This window comes from Homo sapiens, chromosome 3, assembly GCF_000001405.40.
Source record: "Homo sapiens chromosome 3, GRCh38.p14 Primary Assembly".
Lineage (NCBI taxonomy): Eukaryota > Metazoa > Chordata > Mammalia > Primates > Hominidae > Homo > Homo sapiens.
In genome coordinates this window covers 119,577,313-119,593,205 of record NC_000003.12, presented here as the reverse complement: position 1 = coordinate 119,593,205, position 15,893 = coordinate 119,577,313, and the positions used below count along the sequence as shown (strand labels likewise).

Below are 15,893 nucleotides of genomic sequence, written 5' to 3'. Positions count from 1 at the left end.
CTAACTTCAAAGTAAAATTGTGAACCTTAAGGGTTTATCTTTGGGTGTGCATTATGGCAAGGGAGTATTGTGAGAAGGTTGAAGAGAAAGAAAACCCTGTGAGCACCCGGGGTTGTGTCAAAAGTTTCCCAAATGACATAAGAAACTGGCTGGAGGTGGTTGTCTGGGAATATCCCTGGGTCTCTCATTTCATGACAGCTTGGTAAAAAGAAGACACTAGATACACTTTCTAAAAGCTATCAATAATATATAGATAGTATATGTTAACACATCTTTTTCCATTTTTTGTTTAACTGCTTATTATATGCTAGATACTATGCTGTGTAAAAAGTACAACAATCCCACAAGGTAGATACTATTATTAACCCCATTTTCCACGTTCAGAAACAGGCAGCGCAAGGTTTAATAACTTGCCCAAGGCTACACAAAGTGGCAGAGCATGGATTTGAATTTGAAAAACTACCACCAGCAATAGGTCCTTATGCATTCCACTGAATTTATGCTACCCACTCTCATTCTCACCATTCTCCTCAAGGTGGGCATTATTAGCCTCAACTTACATTAGTCCTGAGCAACCTGAGGCTTGGAGGCATCTGGTGGCAGAGCCGGGTTTCAATGGCAGCTCTCTGGAAAAGATCACAGAGCATGCCTTTTCTTAGTCCTAATTACATAGCAATTACCATGTGCCTGCAACAAGGAAAAAATTCACACCTTCAGAGCACCCCCCTCCTAGGTCTCCTGGATTCAGGGCTGGTGGAATAAGGGACAGTAGAGAGTCCACCTCACCTCAGAATGTCACCTTCACTAGAGCAGTCTCCAATAGAAAGTGTATTTTAGAAGGAAGATATAGTAAGAAGACACAGCCGGCCCCTGAAGTGGGCCAACAGATGGACTGTGTCACTTCCATCTGCTGGCATTGACAATGGGGAGGAGGGTTGTCCATATACCAGCCAAAATGATGAGAAACACTGCTTTGAAGCATGGCTGTCTATTAGTAAATGTTTCTATCCACAGCTCTGTAGATTGGGAGACCAAAGGATTCTTTCTTTGCTCTTATCTCCAAGTCAGACAACCCCATTTTAGACTCATGTTCTTTGGGCATTAGTATTGAAAATTCAGGGGCTCCAAGCTCAAATACCCTGAGAGGAGTCACTTGCCTGAGGCCACCAGCTGGTAGAGACAATGACCTCAAGGCCCACAAAGGTGAAGGACCTTGGCAAGTGGGGACAGATATAACCAAACGCAGTGCGAACAGATAAGTCTAGATCATGTCCGAAGCATTGGGTGGGGTCTCTACAGTGACCAAGGGGCAAAATGAGTGCAGAGGTGGGGGAGCTGCCTGAGAAGGGGAAAGAGTCTGAAGGGGAGTGAAGATTCTCTGCCCACTTCACAATTTTTCCTGGGCTCACTCTGTCCCTTCCCTTCCCCTGCTGCCAAATGCGGATCTCAAACCTACACCTAGCCTTTCCTCTTGACATCACCACTTAGTTGTAGGAAGGTGAAGAGAGCACAGGCTTACACTGTCACCATACTACACCATTTTGCCTCTAAGGAATGATTTTCTAATACTTAAACAGCTAACAATTAGAGTGTAGTAGAGTGTGTACAAAGAAAACGGGCTTTAAAGACGTGGTCTGATGATATAGTAAGAAATATGTATCTGGTCTCTACGCCTGAGTTTCTGACGCAGAGCTCCTAAAACCCTCGTAGATAGGGGTGCTAATCTTTTGTTCAAATATTTGGTCTTTGACCCTCGTTCCTGACACAGAACTCCTAAATCCCTTGATAATTCCCGGGTGAGAGGAGCATCTTTTGTTCCAGTGAGGTGACTTTTTGGTGGGCTCCTGGATAGCCTCTGGATGGGGGCTTGTTGCCAGGGGGATCAATCATGTGATTAGAGGGTTGCAACTTTTGTCCCCACCCACCTCATGACCCGCAGGGAGGGGTGGGGGCCTAAAGGCTGAGTTGATTCCAAATGGCCAATGATTTAGTCAATCAGGCCGGCACAATAAGCCTCTATAAAAAGCTAAAAGAACTGGATTTGGACAGCTGAACCCATGGAGCTTCCTAAGGGGTGGTATACCTGGAGAGGTCACTGAAGCTCCACACCCCTTCCCACATGCTTTGCCCTGTGCATCTCTTCCAACTGGCTAGACATTTATAGCCTTTGTAATATCCTTTAACAAACCAGTAAACTAAGTGTTTTCCTGAGTTCTGTGAGCCACTCCATCAAATTAATCAAACCTGAGGGGGGTTTTGTGGGAACCTGATTTACAGCTGGTTGGTCAGAAGCACAGGCCACAACCTGGGACTTGTGGTCAGCATCTGAAGCAGTGGTGAGGGGGAGGAGGGGGCAGTCTTGTGCCTTAACTTGTGGAATCTGATGCTATCATCCAGAAGATAGCATCGGAACTGAATTAGAGGACACTCACTTGGTGTCTGTTAGAAACTTGCTTGGTGCATGGAGAAACAACTCTCACACCTTTGGGTGTCAGAAGTGTGAGTGCTGCATGAGACTGGGAAAAGCACCTTGGTTTGGTTCTTTTCCATCCTTTGTAGGATAAACAGACCTGGTTTTAAACCCCAGTTCCATCTCATCCTGTGTGACTTTGGACAGATGGCAACCTCTCTGAGCCCAATTTCTTCATCTATTAATGGGTTGTTGTGAATGATCTGACACACAGCAATATTCTCTTCCTCTGTTCTTTATCCTTCCCCAAATGGAAAGAGCTTCACCTACTCCCTAGGAATTACTCTTCTCAACCCCCAAGCCCAGAGAGTAAAACAAATGATGGTAGGCTGCTCCCCAGTCCCTATCTAAATGACCTGTGGATCCTCAGTGAGACCCCAGGCAGCCATTGTTGAGAAGCTGGCCGGGGAGGCTGGTTGGATTGTGAAGTTAATCCCCATTCCTTCCCCTCAATGTCCTAGTAGCTCAGTGGCTGTTTTAAAAAGATGCAAGTTTACTCGCTCCAGATAGGTACAGAAAGAAGAATAAATGGAGAATGTGGTGGTTGGAGAATCTTGAAGAAGAGTGAATGAGGTCAATGCTAATTTTATAGATCTAAAACAAACAAACAAATAAACAAAAAACAACTATTGCCAAGACTTCTAGACAACATGTAGCAATCTTGGCTAACAAAGAAAGCAAATGAAGCAGCATCACACAGCAGGTCCAAAAAGCATCATTTGAAATGTCACATATGACCTCTTCTGTTGTTCAATATGCATAGATTAACTTGATAAGAATGGCAAATTCATACGATGTGTCAGACCATCTTTATTGATTTACCCTAATGTTATGCATAAAGTTTATCTCTTCCCCCCATTCGTTCTCATCCTCCCTTCTCTCTCTCTCTCTCTCTTTCTCTGACACACATACACACACATAAAGAAGCAAAGTCACCAGCTGAGAGCGAAGTTTGGGGTGGAAGTTTTGAGGTTTGAGAAAAAAGAAGTCTGAAAGTCTAACCTCTTTTTGAAATGTGCCTGTGATGAAGAGTGACAATCGGCAAAGCAAATCTAATAGGATCTCTAAAGAGCCTTTTCCTGTTGTTTACAATTGTGGCTAAAGCCCTGCACTAGAAAACAACAAATGCTAAGATCCTCCCTGCATCCCCTACCCCCGACCCCCTGGGGCACACACAACCCTCCTCCACCACGTTCTAAAAAGACTGGAAGGACTTGGAAAAACATTCCTATGGGATGAACTAGAAGGTGGCAGGACTGCTATCATCAGACCTCATTTACCCACCGCTTCCAGCTGAAAACCAGGGATTTCACAAAGGAAAAATCATGAGAGTCATAGTTCTGTGGTTTTCTCAAAAGGAGAAGGAAGGGACGCTCTTCCTTCCCACCCCTGAGAACAGGCCAAATGAGAGCAAGCCCACTGGCTGGACTGAGGGTGACCAAATGAATGTGACGATGGCATCTCATTTCCCAGGTGGACATGTGCTGGGCAGCATGTGCCTAGGACTGACCCAGAAGACACACAGCACCACACAACAGGATTGATGTGATGACAAGGCCAAGACAGAAGGCTGTGGGAGGAGTGAGGAGAAGGTGGCCAAGTGCCTGAACAATCAAAGCAGGTTTCACTCAGGAAGCTCTATCTATCTGAGTTGGGTCTTGAAGGACAAGTAAGAATTTATTATCAGGTAGACAAGGATTGGGAAGAGCATCAAGAAATGAAGAAAGGTGATGTATTCATTGGAACATGATTAGTTTAGCATGGTCAATTTGTTATTCGTAAACATAACTCTGGAGGGTAATGAGGGAAGCACGAGCTAGGAGGCTAGTTCATAACACTCAATAGATACTGATTAATGCCTATTGGCTGCCCAAGCACTGTGCTAGGTTCTGTTTAGAAATAATGCAAACAAGCAAACAGACAATAACAAAATTGGTAATGTGTTAACTGCCATGATGAGGAGAGTACTGAGAGCAGCTCAGAGCAGCATCTCCCAGACTTGAGTAGCTTGGATTGCAGAAATCCAGCTGAAAAATCCTCAGTGCAAGAAGGCAATAGAGGTGATAGATTCAGAGTATATTTAGGAGGTAGACCAGCCTAGCAGATATTGTTAGGACCCCACATATGTCCCTCACTGTTCCCATGCCCTTTACAGCTTGCCCCTGCAAGTATCTCTGAGTCTTTACCTGAAGACACTAAGGTTTGGTTTGTACAAAGGGTAAGCCAAGAATTACCAGGGAGTTAGCATCCCTGGCAGTGGTCCTCAACCAGTGTCAGATGGAAGTCAGTGGATAAATACCCCAGGTTTGCTTGCCCTTCAAATGGGACAGTTCTGAGGAATGCTTTAGGCAGAGGACTCAGATGGCAGAGTGCCAACCGCCCACAGTGGAAACCTGCTCATTAACATACCCCATACTAGCTCTCTTCCCTTCCTGGTTTCATTTCCCCATTCTCATATCGGTATTTCCTGGAATCATCTCCCATATAAACTGCTTGCATTCAGATCTTTGTCTCAAAGTCCACTTTGTGGGAACCCAACTTGAGACAAACAGAAAAAACTTTTAGAACAAGTAGATGATGAAAATGAAGACTCAAATATGAGGTCATGAGATTTTTTGCTTGCGAGACGCTGACCCTATCAATTGAGCTAAAGGACTCTTCAGTGTAAGAAAAGGGATAGATTCTGGAAGAACAGGATGAGCCTGAAAAAACTGAGCTTAAGGTGCCCAAGGGACTTGTTATCTCAAAATTCCCTGAGTACAAGGTTAAGACTCTTGACTTTGGAAAAACTGAAAAGAAATAGCAGAAAAGGAAATACACAAAAGAAGAATCCATCAGAAGTGAACATCACGTCTCCCTAAAGGGAAATTACAGTGTCTTCTTTTGACCCGAGAGAATATAAAGCCCTAGCTGTCTCTTCCAGCCGGTTTCTGTATTCTAGTTTCTCATAGTTGGAGGGACTCACTCCTTTAAAACCATACATAACTCCCCACCAGCAGCCAGCAATGGCAGCTGTAGAATCACTGTCTCCACCATGGAAAAAGGCTCGGTGGGCAAGCTCCTTCCAGGAGTCTCCTGCAGCAAGAACAGCATCGTAGGCAATCATGGGGGCATCGTGCCCACTGCTGCCACCCCAGCCAGAGTAGCTCAGGGAGGTGTAGAACTGATCCCTCTCCTTCACACCGAAAGACTCAGGGAAGGTAGGGGCTGATTCTCCATCCAAAATCCCTCTAAGTTTTAGGTAATTTTCCCATTTGGTTTGGAAGTAGGACCTGTAGAAAGGAAAAAATCTAGAGTCAATTGAAAAAAATAAAGTGAAAAGTCATAACAAAAAGCACCAGATGGATGTGTGAACAGAGAAAAATCCAACATAACTTCGGCTTCTTGCAGTAATATCATAAACTATTTAAACATCAAAATTATTTCTATATAAGTACCATTCATTCAATACATTTTTCATAAGGATCTACATAAATAAGGCATTGATCCTGTTGCTAAATAAAGAGATACATATCAAGTTAAAGGGTAAGAAATACAGGTTTGTTTTCCCTGGGAGGGTCGAGAGTAATGACCTTTTAAAGGGGAACTTCAAGACATCACAACTGTGGGTGACTTCAGCAGAAAGCCTCTTTTTATTCTAAGAAAGACAATGTGAAGTGAACTCACGAGAAGGGGAAGATGTGGCCTTACCACTTATTAGTTAGCTAGTGGAAAAACGTATCTCTGGAATTTTAACCAAGGATTTCAAAATATTATTTGTATACCAAGACAACACTGAAAAAGCAAATTCCAGGAAAGTAGGAAATAGGCATGAAAATTCATGGCAGAATAGGATAGCCACAAAAATGACAGGATTCCGTGTAAGAGGGAAACACCACAGCTGCCCTATTCATTGAGGTATCCACTTGGCTACTTTGTAGAATCATTACTGGAAGGGAACTTGAAATCCTTAGCAGATGGGTAGAAAGGGGGCTGGGGGTGAAAACCATGAGGGTTGCTGTGATCTCTGAATACAAGACATATATGTGCAGGTGGATGTACACGCACAGATTCAACCGTGTTTGAGCAGGGCGTGCGCTTACAGACTCACCAGTGTTGAAGATTTTCCTCTACAAAGTAGCCTGATTGGACAATGTACTTTTTAGCTTCTGGTAGCAGCTCCATCAGTCCTTTTCCCCACTGCAAGGGTGGTCTGCTATTCACAGCATAGGCTGTAAAAAGAGCAGACGCAAGGGCCCCCAGGTAGCCTGTTGGGTGGTGGTGGGTCATCCGACCACTCTCGATGCTCACTTGGATCAGTGTGTCCAGTTGGCTATGGTGTGGGAACCTGAGACCGATGCACATGGCCCGCATGGCAGCCCCACAGCCGCCCTCATGGCTGTTGAAGGGAATCCTCCAGCCATTGGGCTTGCCCGGCTTCAGCTGCATGGCGTTGTGCACCGAGGCACCACCTGGGGAAGAGTCGGATAAGGGATGGGGGTTAGCATAACCAAAGCAAAGGCCCCAGCAGGAATAAATAACTAAACTCTGTCTCCAAGTATTTTTGATGGAAAGGGAGAGCCAAAAAATATGATGATGCATGCCCCAAAACTCCAAACCCCACCCAACAATGTGCCTTTCTTTATGTATAACCCTTGGCAAGATAACGCTAATAAAGGCAGCAGACTCATATAGGGATCCTTGGAATCTTTACCAGTCATTACTGAGACATCACAAAAAAATTAAGAAGTAAGTATATTGTTCTCTTTTTTAAGTAAATAAGCCTTTTAAGCTCAGAGCTTAAGAAACTTCCTCAAAATCACATAATCAGCTAGTTAGTGGCTGGGTAAAATCCATCAGACTCCAAAGCCCAATTCCTTATGGAGTCCAATAAGAACCTTACAATTAGGCCGGGAGCAGTGGCTCATGCCTGTAATCCCAGCACTTTGGGAGGTGGAGGCAGGCAGATCACGAGGTCAGGAGATCGGGACCATCCTGGCTAACACGGTGAAACTCCGTCTCTACTAAAAATACAAAAAACTAGCCGGGCGTGGTGACACATGCCTGTAGTCCCAGCTATTTGGAAGGCTGAGGCAGGAGAATCGTTTGAACCCGGGAGGCAGAGGTTGCAGTGAGTCGAGATTGCACCACTGCACCCTGGCCTGGGTGACAGAGCGAGACTCCGTCTCAAAACAAAAAACCAAAAAACAAAAAACAAAAACCTCACAATTGGAGTTCCTGAACATCAAAAAGAAAGAAAGCGGCCAAAAATTCTACAGTGAAGCCCTGGGCTCAGATGAGGAGCAGTGGATTCAGGGAAACAATGTGTCTTTGGTGAGTCACTGAACCTCTGGGCCTTGGCTATCCCCTCGTGACAGTGACGTAAGCAGGCTTGTCCCCCGACCTGTCCTACTGGGGACCTGTGAATACGCATGCGAACCAAGCGATGGCAGCAACATACGATGGAGTGTGGCACTGCTGTTCCTTTACTGGTCAGTGTTTTCACAAAAATGTTCATGGATGGCACAGGTGGACAAAAAAAAGTTTCCACTTGCTAAACTGATGAGCTATCAGATGCCGAGAAAGGATGAACAGAGATTGGCATCTAAAGCCAATCCTTGGGGTGACAAGGGCCCCTTGGTATGGTGATGGGAAGCTTTCATCAGGAGGTGTTATGTGCTGAATTGAGTCCCCCCAATTCAAATGCTGTAGCTCTAAGTACCTCGATTTGGAGATAGGGCCTTTAAAGAGGTGGTTAAGCTAAAATGTGGCCTTTAGGGTAGGCCCTAATCTAATCTGCCTGGTGTCCTTACATGAAGAGGAATGCAAACACACAGAAACACCAGGGATACATGCACACAGAGGAAAGACCATGTGAGGACACAGCGAGGAGGCAGCCATCTGCAAGCCAAGGAGAGAGGCCTCAGAAGAAACCAGGCCTGTCAATATCTTGACTTGGATTTCCAGTTTCCAGAGCTGTGAGAGACAAATTTCCATTGTTTCAGCCACTCAGTCTATGCCATTTTGTTATGGCAGCCCTAGCAGCCTCAAATAGGAGAGGTAGGTCAGATGGGCCAGAGAAAATCACCTGGTGGCCCAAGTGGCTCTAACAAGTTGCCGAAGTGGGCAAGAACCACTTGTGAGCGAACCTGTGGCCAGAAGTCTCTACAAAAGCCTTTGCATTTTTTTTTCTTGAGATGGGGTCTCACTCTGTCGCCCAGGCTGGAGTCCAATGGCGCGATCTTGGCTCACTGCAACCTCCGCCTCTGGGGTTCAAGTGATTCTCGTGCCTCAGCCTCCTGGGTAGCTGGGATTACAGGTGTGCACCATCACACCCAGCTAATTTTTTAATTTTTAGTAGAGATGGGATTTCACCATGTTGGTCAGGCTAGTCTCAAACTCCTGACCTCAGATGATCTGCCCGCCTTGGCCTCCCAAAGTGCTTGGATTACAGGCATGAGCCACCATGCCTAGCCGCATTTTTCTTTAAAAATAAAAAATATACATTTTTCTTTTTACTTATTCATCACAGAAAACTTAGAAATACAAGTAAGTAAAAATAAAAAACTATAAATACTCCCATCACCCAAATATAATTAGTAACATCTTTGTACATGTTCTTCAAGATCTTTCTCAACACAGAAATACATATCTATTTTTTAAAAAAAAGTTTTTTTTTGGCCAGGCATGGTGGCTCATGCCTGTAATCCCAGCACTTTGGGAGGCTGAGGCAGGTGGATCAACTGAGGTCAGGAGTTCGAAACCAGCCTGGCCAACATGGTGAAACCCCATCTCTACCAAAAATACAAAAATTAGCCAGACGTGGTGGTGCGTGCCTGTAATCCCAGCTACTTGGGAGGCTGGGGCAGGAGAATCGCTTGAACCTGGGAGGCAGAGGTTGCAGTGAGCCGAGATCGTGCCACTGCACTCCAGCCTGGGCAACAGAGTGAGACTCCATCTCAAAAAAAAAAAAATTTTTTTTTAACTGGCCACTCAAAAAAATTTTTTTTAAAGACAGGCTTTTGCTATGTTGCCCAGGCTGGTCTCAAACTCCTGGACTCAAGCAATCCTCTCACCTTGGCCTTTCACAGTGTTGGGATTACAGGTGTAAGCCACAGCACTTGGCCCCACAGATCTATTTTTTAAAGGACAGTAGGTTCATAACATACATACTATTTTATAACCTATTAGTGTATAATAATACTTTTCAATATTAGTAAATATTATTTGCAAATTTTAAATTTTTATTAATATTTAAATTGACAAATCAATTATATACATTTATTTAGTATAATGTGATGATTTGATATATGTAAACAATGTGGGATGATCAGGCTAATTAGCATATCTATTGCCTCACTTTTTTTTGTGGTGAGACATTTGAAATTTACTCTATTGGTTATTTTGAAATATACGATACATTGTTATTGAGTAGAGTCACCCTGAATAATTTTAAATGGTTGCAAATGTGTCAGCTTAATTAATTATGAGAGATTTAGGTTCTTTCTATTTATTTCTTTATTTTTTAGAGTCAGGGTATTGCTTTGTCACTCAGGCTGGAATGCAGTGGCACGATCCTAGCTCACTGTAGCCTCAACCTCCCGGGCTCAAGCAATCATCCTACCTCAGCCCCCCAAGTAGCTGGGACTACAGGTATGTGCCATGACACCTGGCTAATGTTTTAAAAATTTTTTTCTGGAGTTGTAGTCCCCAGCCTTTTTGGCACCAGCGACCGGTTTTACAGAAGATAATTTTTCCATGGACGGGGTTGGTTGGGGGAGGTTTTGGGACAAAACTGTTCCACCACAGATCATCAGACATTAGATTCTCATAAGAAGCCCACAATCTAGATCCCTCGCATGTGCAGTTCCCAACAGGGTTCAGGCTCCTATGAGAATCTAATGCGCCACTGATCTGATGGAGGCAGAGCTCAGGTGATGATGCTCCTTCGCCCATCACTCACTTCCTGCTGTGTGCTCCAGTTCCTAACAAGCCACGGATCAGTACCTGTCTCTAGAAGAGGGATTGGCTACCCCATTCTAGAGACAGGGTCTCCGTATATTGCTCAGGCTTGTCTTGAACTCCTGGGTTCAAGTGATTCTCTCACCTTGGCCTCCCAAAGAGCTGGAATTACAGGTATGAGCCACCACCATGGCCGTTATTTCTATTTTTATCACATTTACAAACACTATTGTCTCTGTTATTTAAATCTCCATCAACATTCTTAATGATTTCCTCAAGGCTGTTTTATTCTTTGCCCTCCTTGCACCTCCCACCGGCTGTGCTCACCTGGTGCCCGCCCATCCATGTCTTCCATGCAGTCTTGGTAATGCTTAGCAAGGAGGTAATACAGTTGAGTCAACTTAGGGGCTTTCCCAGCTTCCACAAGAGCTTCTGCTGTGGCCAAGTGCATCACTGTGTCGTCACTAACTCTCCACCTTCCCACGTCTAGGGCATCCAAGCCGCCCAGCTGGGCCAACTGCCGGTGTATCTTCTCCCCATCCTGGAGGAACTCCCACTTCCCATTGTAGTACCCCAGGGCATCTCCAGCTGCACTCAGCACCATAGCAGCCACATACTTCTCCATCAGTCCCTCACAATTGCTGGGCTCTGGAGAGGGTGTCTTTGTGGGGAAATTAAGACAAAGGAAATAGGATGAGGAGCAAGAAGAATCAGAAAAAACAACGACTCTAGCTATGTTTTATTGAGCACTCACTACTTGCAGACATTGTATCAGTGGCATCTCATGTAATCCTCATCACTGCTCTATGAGGAATATAAAGCCCATTTTATGTATGAACAAATGGAGGACCATGGAGATAATGCAGTTTGAGAAATGTTCAGTGACTTGTCTCAGGTCACAGAGCCAATAAGTGGCAGGGCTGGGATCCCAACATAGGTCCATCTGACTCCAAAGTCTATCATCATAACTACAACTGTATCTCTTGCCTCTTGGTGAGTAGTAAGCCCACTAAATTCTGCAAGTCAAACCCAGCTCATCATTTGCTCTTCTTAGCTGGGATTTGGCCTTAGAAGTGCAAGGCTTTACACTTCCTATTAGTGTCACAATGTGTAGTTCACAAAGCACCTGCACATTCATTGTCTCACTAATAGGGAGGGATTACAGTATGCATTTCACAGATAAGAAAATGAAGGCTCAGATAAGCTAAATTCACAAAACAAGAGGAGTGGAAGTACTGGAACCCAAATCTGATTCCAGCCAAGCCAGGATGCTTGGTATCACACCACTCAGCCTCAGTCCAGATCTTCTTACCTTGGGCAACCTCTTGGTGCCTCAGCCTCCACATTTATAAAATGGCACTGATTTTAAAAAGTAACAACCTCCTGGATTTGTTGTTAGGAATAAATAAATTAAATTTCATAAAGTTGGCTGGACGCGGTGGCTCACGCCTGTAATCTCAGCACTTTGGGAGGCCGAGGTGGGTGGCTCATCTGAGGTCAGGAGATCGAGACCAGCCTGGCCAACAGGGTGAAACCCCATCTCTACTAAAAATACAAAAATTAGCCGGGTATGGTGGTGCATGCCTGTAGTCCCAGCTACTCAGGAGGCTGAGGCAGGAGAATCGCTTGAACCCAGGAGGCAGAGGTTGCAGTGAGCCGAGATTGTGCCACTGCACTCCAGCCTGGGCGACAGACCAAGACTCTGTCTCAAAAAAAAAAAAAAAAAAAAAGTTCTTAGAGTGCTTGGCACATAGTAAGCTTGATTTTTGACATATTTGTATTATTCATATACAACCAGGGAAAATGGGTGTTCTGTTTTAGAACTAGAACATTTTCTCCCCACAACCTTTCCTTCGACAGTAATGTTTAAATATTGTTTCTCTTAGAAATGATCAGCTTCTAGAGAATTCGAATCTCTATTAATAATATACCCACCATGAATGAAATCCCTGGTAAAGCGCTGGCTTCCCTGTTGGTGCATTTCCTAAGAACCCCCCTCTTTCAGCCAATTCCTCAGGGTTCCCTTCTCCCTGTGGCTTTCAGGTCAAAGCCCTCCATCCCATCCAGGCCAATACTTTTATAAGGGTCTGGCAGACTAGCTCATTCTCCCCTCAGGTGAAACTTTTCCCTCCCCTCCACTTATCTAAACCCTATTTACCCAAGGTCTAGTTCAAGTCAGGAGGCTTCCAGAAGTGCTTCTGCAGCTGCACTGCTGTTGGCCATGGAATGCAGGCTGGAGAGCCCCTGGAGAAGGAGTAAACGACGAAGATGGATGCGTTCCACTACCCAGTTACTGGTAATGCTGAGTTTCTGAGCTCACAAAGGATATTTGTAAATGTTATTTACATAGTTTATTATTTACAGTGAAGCCTAGGCACTGAGATTCTGGGCTACTAGACCTGACAGACACCCGGGACAGCGGTTTGCCCATCTGTAAACTGGAGGGGGAAGTGGGGAGGTATAGGCTCTCGGAAGTTCCGTCCTGCGCTGCGATTTTCAGACACTAGGCCAAGACACTCTGCTTCTTGGCCTCGGAGGACTAACTTTAACCCCCCATACCCTCCCTCTCAATGTCCTCATTGTCCTTTCCGTAATTCCTTCTGGCTCCACCCTAATGTGTGCTTCTGTGAATTGCAAGCTGGGATGGGGGAAGAAGACCGGCATCTTTTTTCGGTTGTAAATTCCCTTTAACGTTCGCTTTCAGAACGCTGTAATTACTTAACTCCTCTGAACTTTCACGGGTCACATTCTCGTACCCGAACTATACATTCAGAACTAAGATCTGATCAGCTGCTTCCGGGCCATGCCCGGCTTTGGAAAGAAACGGGGCGGTTGACACGCTCCCACGATTTGCAAGACTGGGAATCCTCATGGTCGGCCACACTCGGAGAGCGCCAGGGGCGGGGGAGGGGAGCGCGGGGCCGAGGGCCGGGATCGCGATACCTGCTGTAGCCTGGACTGGAACGCGCGAGCGACGGGCGTGGCGCGGGCTCCCGGGGCCGGGGAAGAGGCCTTGGCTGCTGCGGGTGGACGAGGGCGCGGGTTGGGGCGGAGCCGGGTCACCGGGTTCCGGGACTGTCCCCAGATAAGCAGGGTGGCGGCGAGGGCCCCCGCACCTGCGCTTGGCCGCGCTGAGTGAGCTAATCTTGGAGCCTCCAAGGCGGCTTCCTGGCACCGCCGCGCCCTTCTGCACCCAAGCGAGAGTGGACGGGACCTCCGTCGCCCGCCCCAAATGCTCTGAAGAGCCCGGAGCCTGGTGCCCGGAATGTGGCGGCACCGGAAAGCCGGCTCTCGCCTGGCTGTGGTCAGTGACTCCCGTGTGGCCCCGGCTGACGCCTTCGCCCGTGCTCACGTCCGACTTTGTAGGACTGTAGTGGACCGGGTGTGCCCAGATGCTTGAAGAGCGTACTGAGTGTGCCGCCCTTGCCAGGGTTCTGGGCCCTCACGCATAAAGTGGGATAATAATATCTGCCTCTTAGAATGGTTGTTAAGGATTCAGTTAGTTAATTTTAACTAGTCATTTATTTGGCAGCAGCGTAGAATTCTTGTATCCTGATCGTAAATAAAAGCAAAGAAAAACGAAGAGTATTTTTGTCTAAATACATTAATCATGTCACTTTTAAAGCAAATCAGAATCACCATATGCAAATATTCTATATATTTCTCCAAAGTTTTAAATTTGCTATGCCTATTTTCTTGCTGTAATGACTAGCCTTGGTCTGAGAGCTTTTTAAAAAATTGATATATAATTTATATATAATGAAATGTCCTTACACCATAATCGAGATATGAAATATTTCCATCACTTTAAAACATTCTCTTGTGGCCTTCCCAGTGAATAACCATCTCCATCTCCAACTCTAGCCTAAGTGACTTTTGAGTGTTTACAAAAATCAAGTTCACCAATAAGGGAGGCAGAGATCACCTCCAACCCCCTACACCCTCTAGCTCTTAGTGAGCTAATCAGCTGCATCTAGAAGCCAAATTGACACTAGGCAGATTAACAAGAGAAAAGTATACAAATTTTATTAATTTTACATGTACATGGGGATGTTAAGAGACTGAATCCTGAAGAAAGTGTCCAAAGCAAGATGCTTTTATACTTTTTAGAAAAAGAGTGATAAATTTAAGAAGAAGTGACAGGACAAAGAAAATCCGGCTAGGGTGGTAAAAAATTTCTAGGGGAGCCCCTAGGAGATATATGGGGGGTGGGGTGTAAAACAGGTGGAAGATAATGGTTACTTTGCAAGAATGTTTACTCCAGTCCAAATGCCACCTCCAGTTCCAAATCTCTGGTGATGAGAGCTATTTTCTCGCTCTGGCGTGGAGAACATACCTCTCCTAGAGGAATCTTTATTGCTGGCTGCATGCAGGAAGAGACAGCTCAGCTCCTGTCAGGGAACCAGGCTCATTTGTCTTTCACACAGTATGCCAATCACTGAGGCGCACAAGTTTTGCAGTAGAGAAAGGGTGTATTCACAAGGCAGCCAAGACAGGAGACTGGAGAACAGGCCTCAAATGTGCCTTTCCAAAGATGGAATTTTAGGAGTGCTTATGGGATAGGGGAGGAAGGTGGTCCAAGGTTCAGAGAAAGATGAGGTAAGGAAAAGTGAGGCAATCGGTAATCTGAGCAAGCATAGTCAATCTTCATGGCTGTTCATAGAACACATGTTCACAAAATCGTGACGTTAGCATGATCTGAGAGTGGAGTTTTGGGCCTTCTGATGTCAAAAGGTCACCCATTGGACACTCACGCAGGCCAAGATGAAGGGCTGGTGGCTTGAACTGGACAAGAACTGACTCTAAGTTCCTGAAAAATAACTTAAGCAATATTTTCCATGGTGTCCTATCAGAGAAGTTATCTATAAGGAGGCAAGTGGAATTTAGTTATGTATCGTCTAGCTACATGACTTTTAGCTATGCAGGTTTTAAAATCGACTAGAAGCAAGTGACCAAAAGCAAGCAAGGCAAATTAAGTGTCAGGCCTAATCAGGTCAGCCCTCAGTTTTACCCTTTCTGAAACTATAATTTCTCTAATGTTTTCAACTCAAAGTAATCAATATATTATATGGCATATTTGGGGATGGCACATCCTTCATTCTTTCAACTGTCAAAGATTTTCAGCCTCTGAGGATGCAGTCAAAGCAAGTTCTGTAGTAAGAGACATTTTGAATAATAAGCATCCCGATAAAACTCAACACAGTTTCAGCTTAAGATGTCTGCTGAGGATATTGTTCATATTATGTAGTGATCTTTCTGTGAGAATCCATGGGAAAGGGTGATTTTTTGTTTTCGTTTTTGACTTAAATGTAAAGAATAACTGGGGCTGGGCACAGTGGTTCATACCTGTAATCCCAGTACTTTGGGAGGCCAAGGGGGACAGATTGCTTGAGACCAGGAGTTCGAGACCAGCCTGGGCAACATGGTGAAACCTGTTCTCTACAAAAAATACAAAAATTATCCAGGCATGCGCCTGTGGTCT

The 15,893-nt window shown here is 45.2% G+C and overlaps 1 protein-coding gene across 6 annotated transcripts, besides 6 other annotated features; it reads right to left on the bottom strand.

The window, feature by feature from the left end:
* ADPRH (ADP-ribosylarginine hydrolase) lies at positions 3,261-13,714 on the bottom strand. 6 transcript variants are annotated; one of them, XM_047447476.1, is made up of 5 exons: positions 13,355-13,714; positions 12,570-12,726; positions 10,739-11,072; positions 6,561-6,921; positions 3,261-5,742 (listed from the first exon to the last, which is right to left on the bottom strand). In XM_047447476.1, exons 3-5 carry the CDS (start codon positions 11,034-11,036, stop codon positions 5,328-5,330), a joined length of 1,074 nt encoding a protein of 357 aa, XP_047303432.1. In that variant the 5' UTR covers positions 11,037-11,072; positions 12,570-12,726; positions 13,355-13,714; the 3' UTR covers positions 3,261-5,327. The 6 variants fall into 6 exon arrangements, with proteins under 6 accessions (XP_047303432.1, NP_001358021.1, NP_001116.1 ...); NM_001371092.1 differs by having other exon boundaries at positions 12,570-12,721; NM_001125.4 differs by having other exon boundaries at positions 12,570-12,655.
* Positions 10,261-11,460: an enhancer, noted in NCBI's record as "BRD4-independent group 4 enhancer chr3:119300593-119301792 (GRCh37/hg19 assembly coordinates)". NCBI's record gives its function as "activates an origin of replication core promoter dependent on BRD2, P300/CBP, MED14 and CDK7 cofactors, and independent of BRD4, by STARR-seq in HCT116 cells {active_cell/tissue: HCT116}" and the evidence as "EXISTENCE:reporter gene assay evidence [ECO:0000049][PMID:35650434]".
* Positions 10,798-11,097: an enhancer, noted in NCBI's record as "active region_20315". NCBI's record gives its function as "activates an Ori minimal core promoter by ATAC-STARR-seq in GM12878 lymphoblastoid cells {active_cell/tissue: GM12878}" and the evidence as "EXISTENCE:reporter gene assay evidence [ECO:0000049][PMID:35858748]".
* Positions 12,565-12,784: an enhancer, noted in NCBI's record as "active region_20314". NCBI's record gives its function as "activates an Ori minimal core promoter by ATAC-STARR-seq in GM12878 lymphoblastoid cells {active_cell/tissue: GM12878}" and the evidence as "EXISTENCE:reporter gene assay evidence [ECO:0000049][PMID:35858748]".
* Positions 13,405-13,544: a silencer, noted in NCBI's record as "silent region_14631". NCBI's record gives its function as "represses an Ori minimal core promoter by ATAC-STARR-seq in GM12878 lymphoblastoid cells {active_cell/tissue: GM12878}" and the evidence as "EXISTENCE:reporter gene assay evidence [ECO:0000049][PMID:35858748]".
* Positions 13,609-14,110: an enhancer, noted in NCBI's record as "H3K27ac hESC enhancer chr3:119297943-119298444 (GRCh37/hg19 assembly coordinates)". NCBI's record gives its function as "activates a minimal SCP1, AML or CMV promoter by ChIP-STARR-seq in primed H9 embryonic stem cells {active_cell/tissue: H9 hESC(primed)}" and the evidence as "EXISTENCE:reporter gene assay evidence [ECO:0000049][PMID:30033119]".
* Positions 13,725-13,824: an enhancer, noted in NCBI's record as "active region_20313". NCBI's record gives its function as "activates an Ori minimal core promoter by ATAC-STARR-seq in GM12878 lymphoblastoid cells {active_cell/tissue: GM12878}" and the evidence as "EXISTENCE:reporter gene assay evidence [ECO:0000049][PMID:35858748]".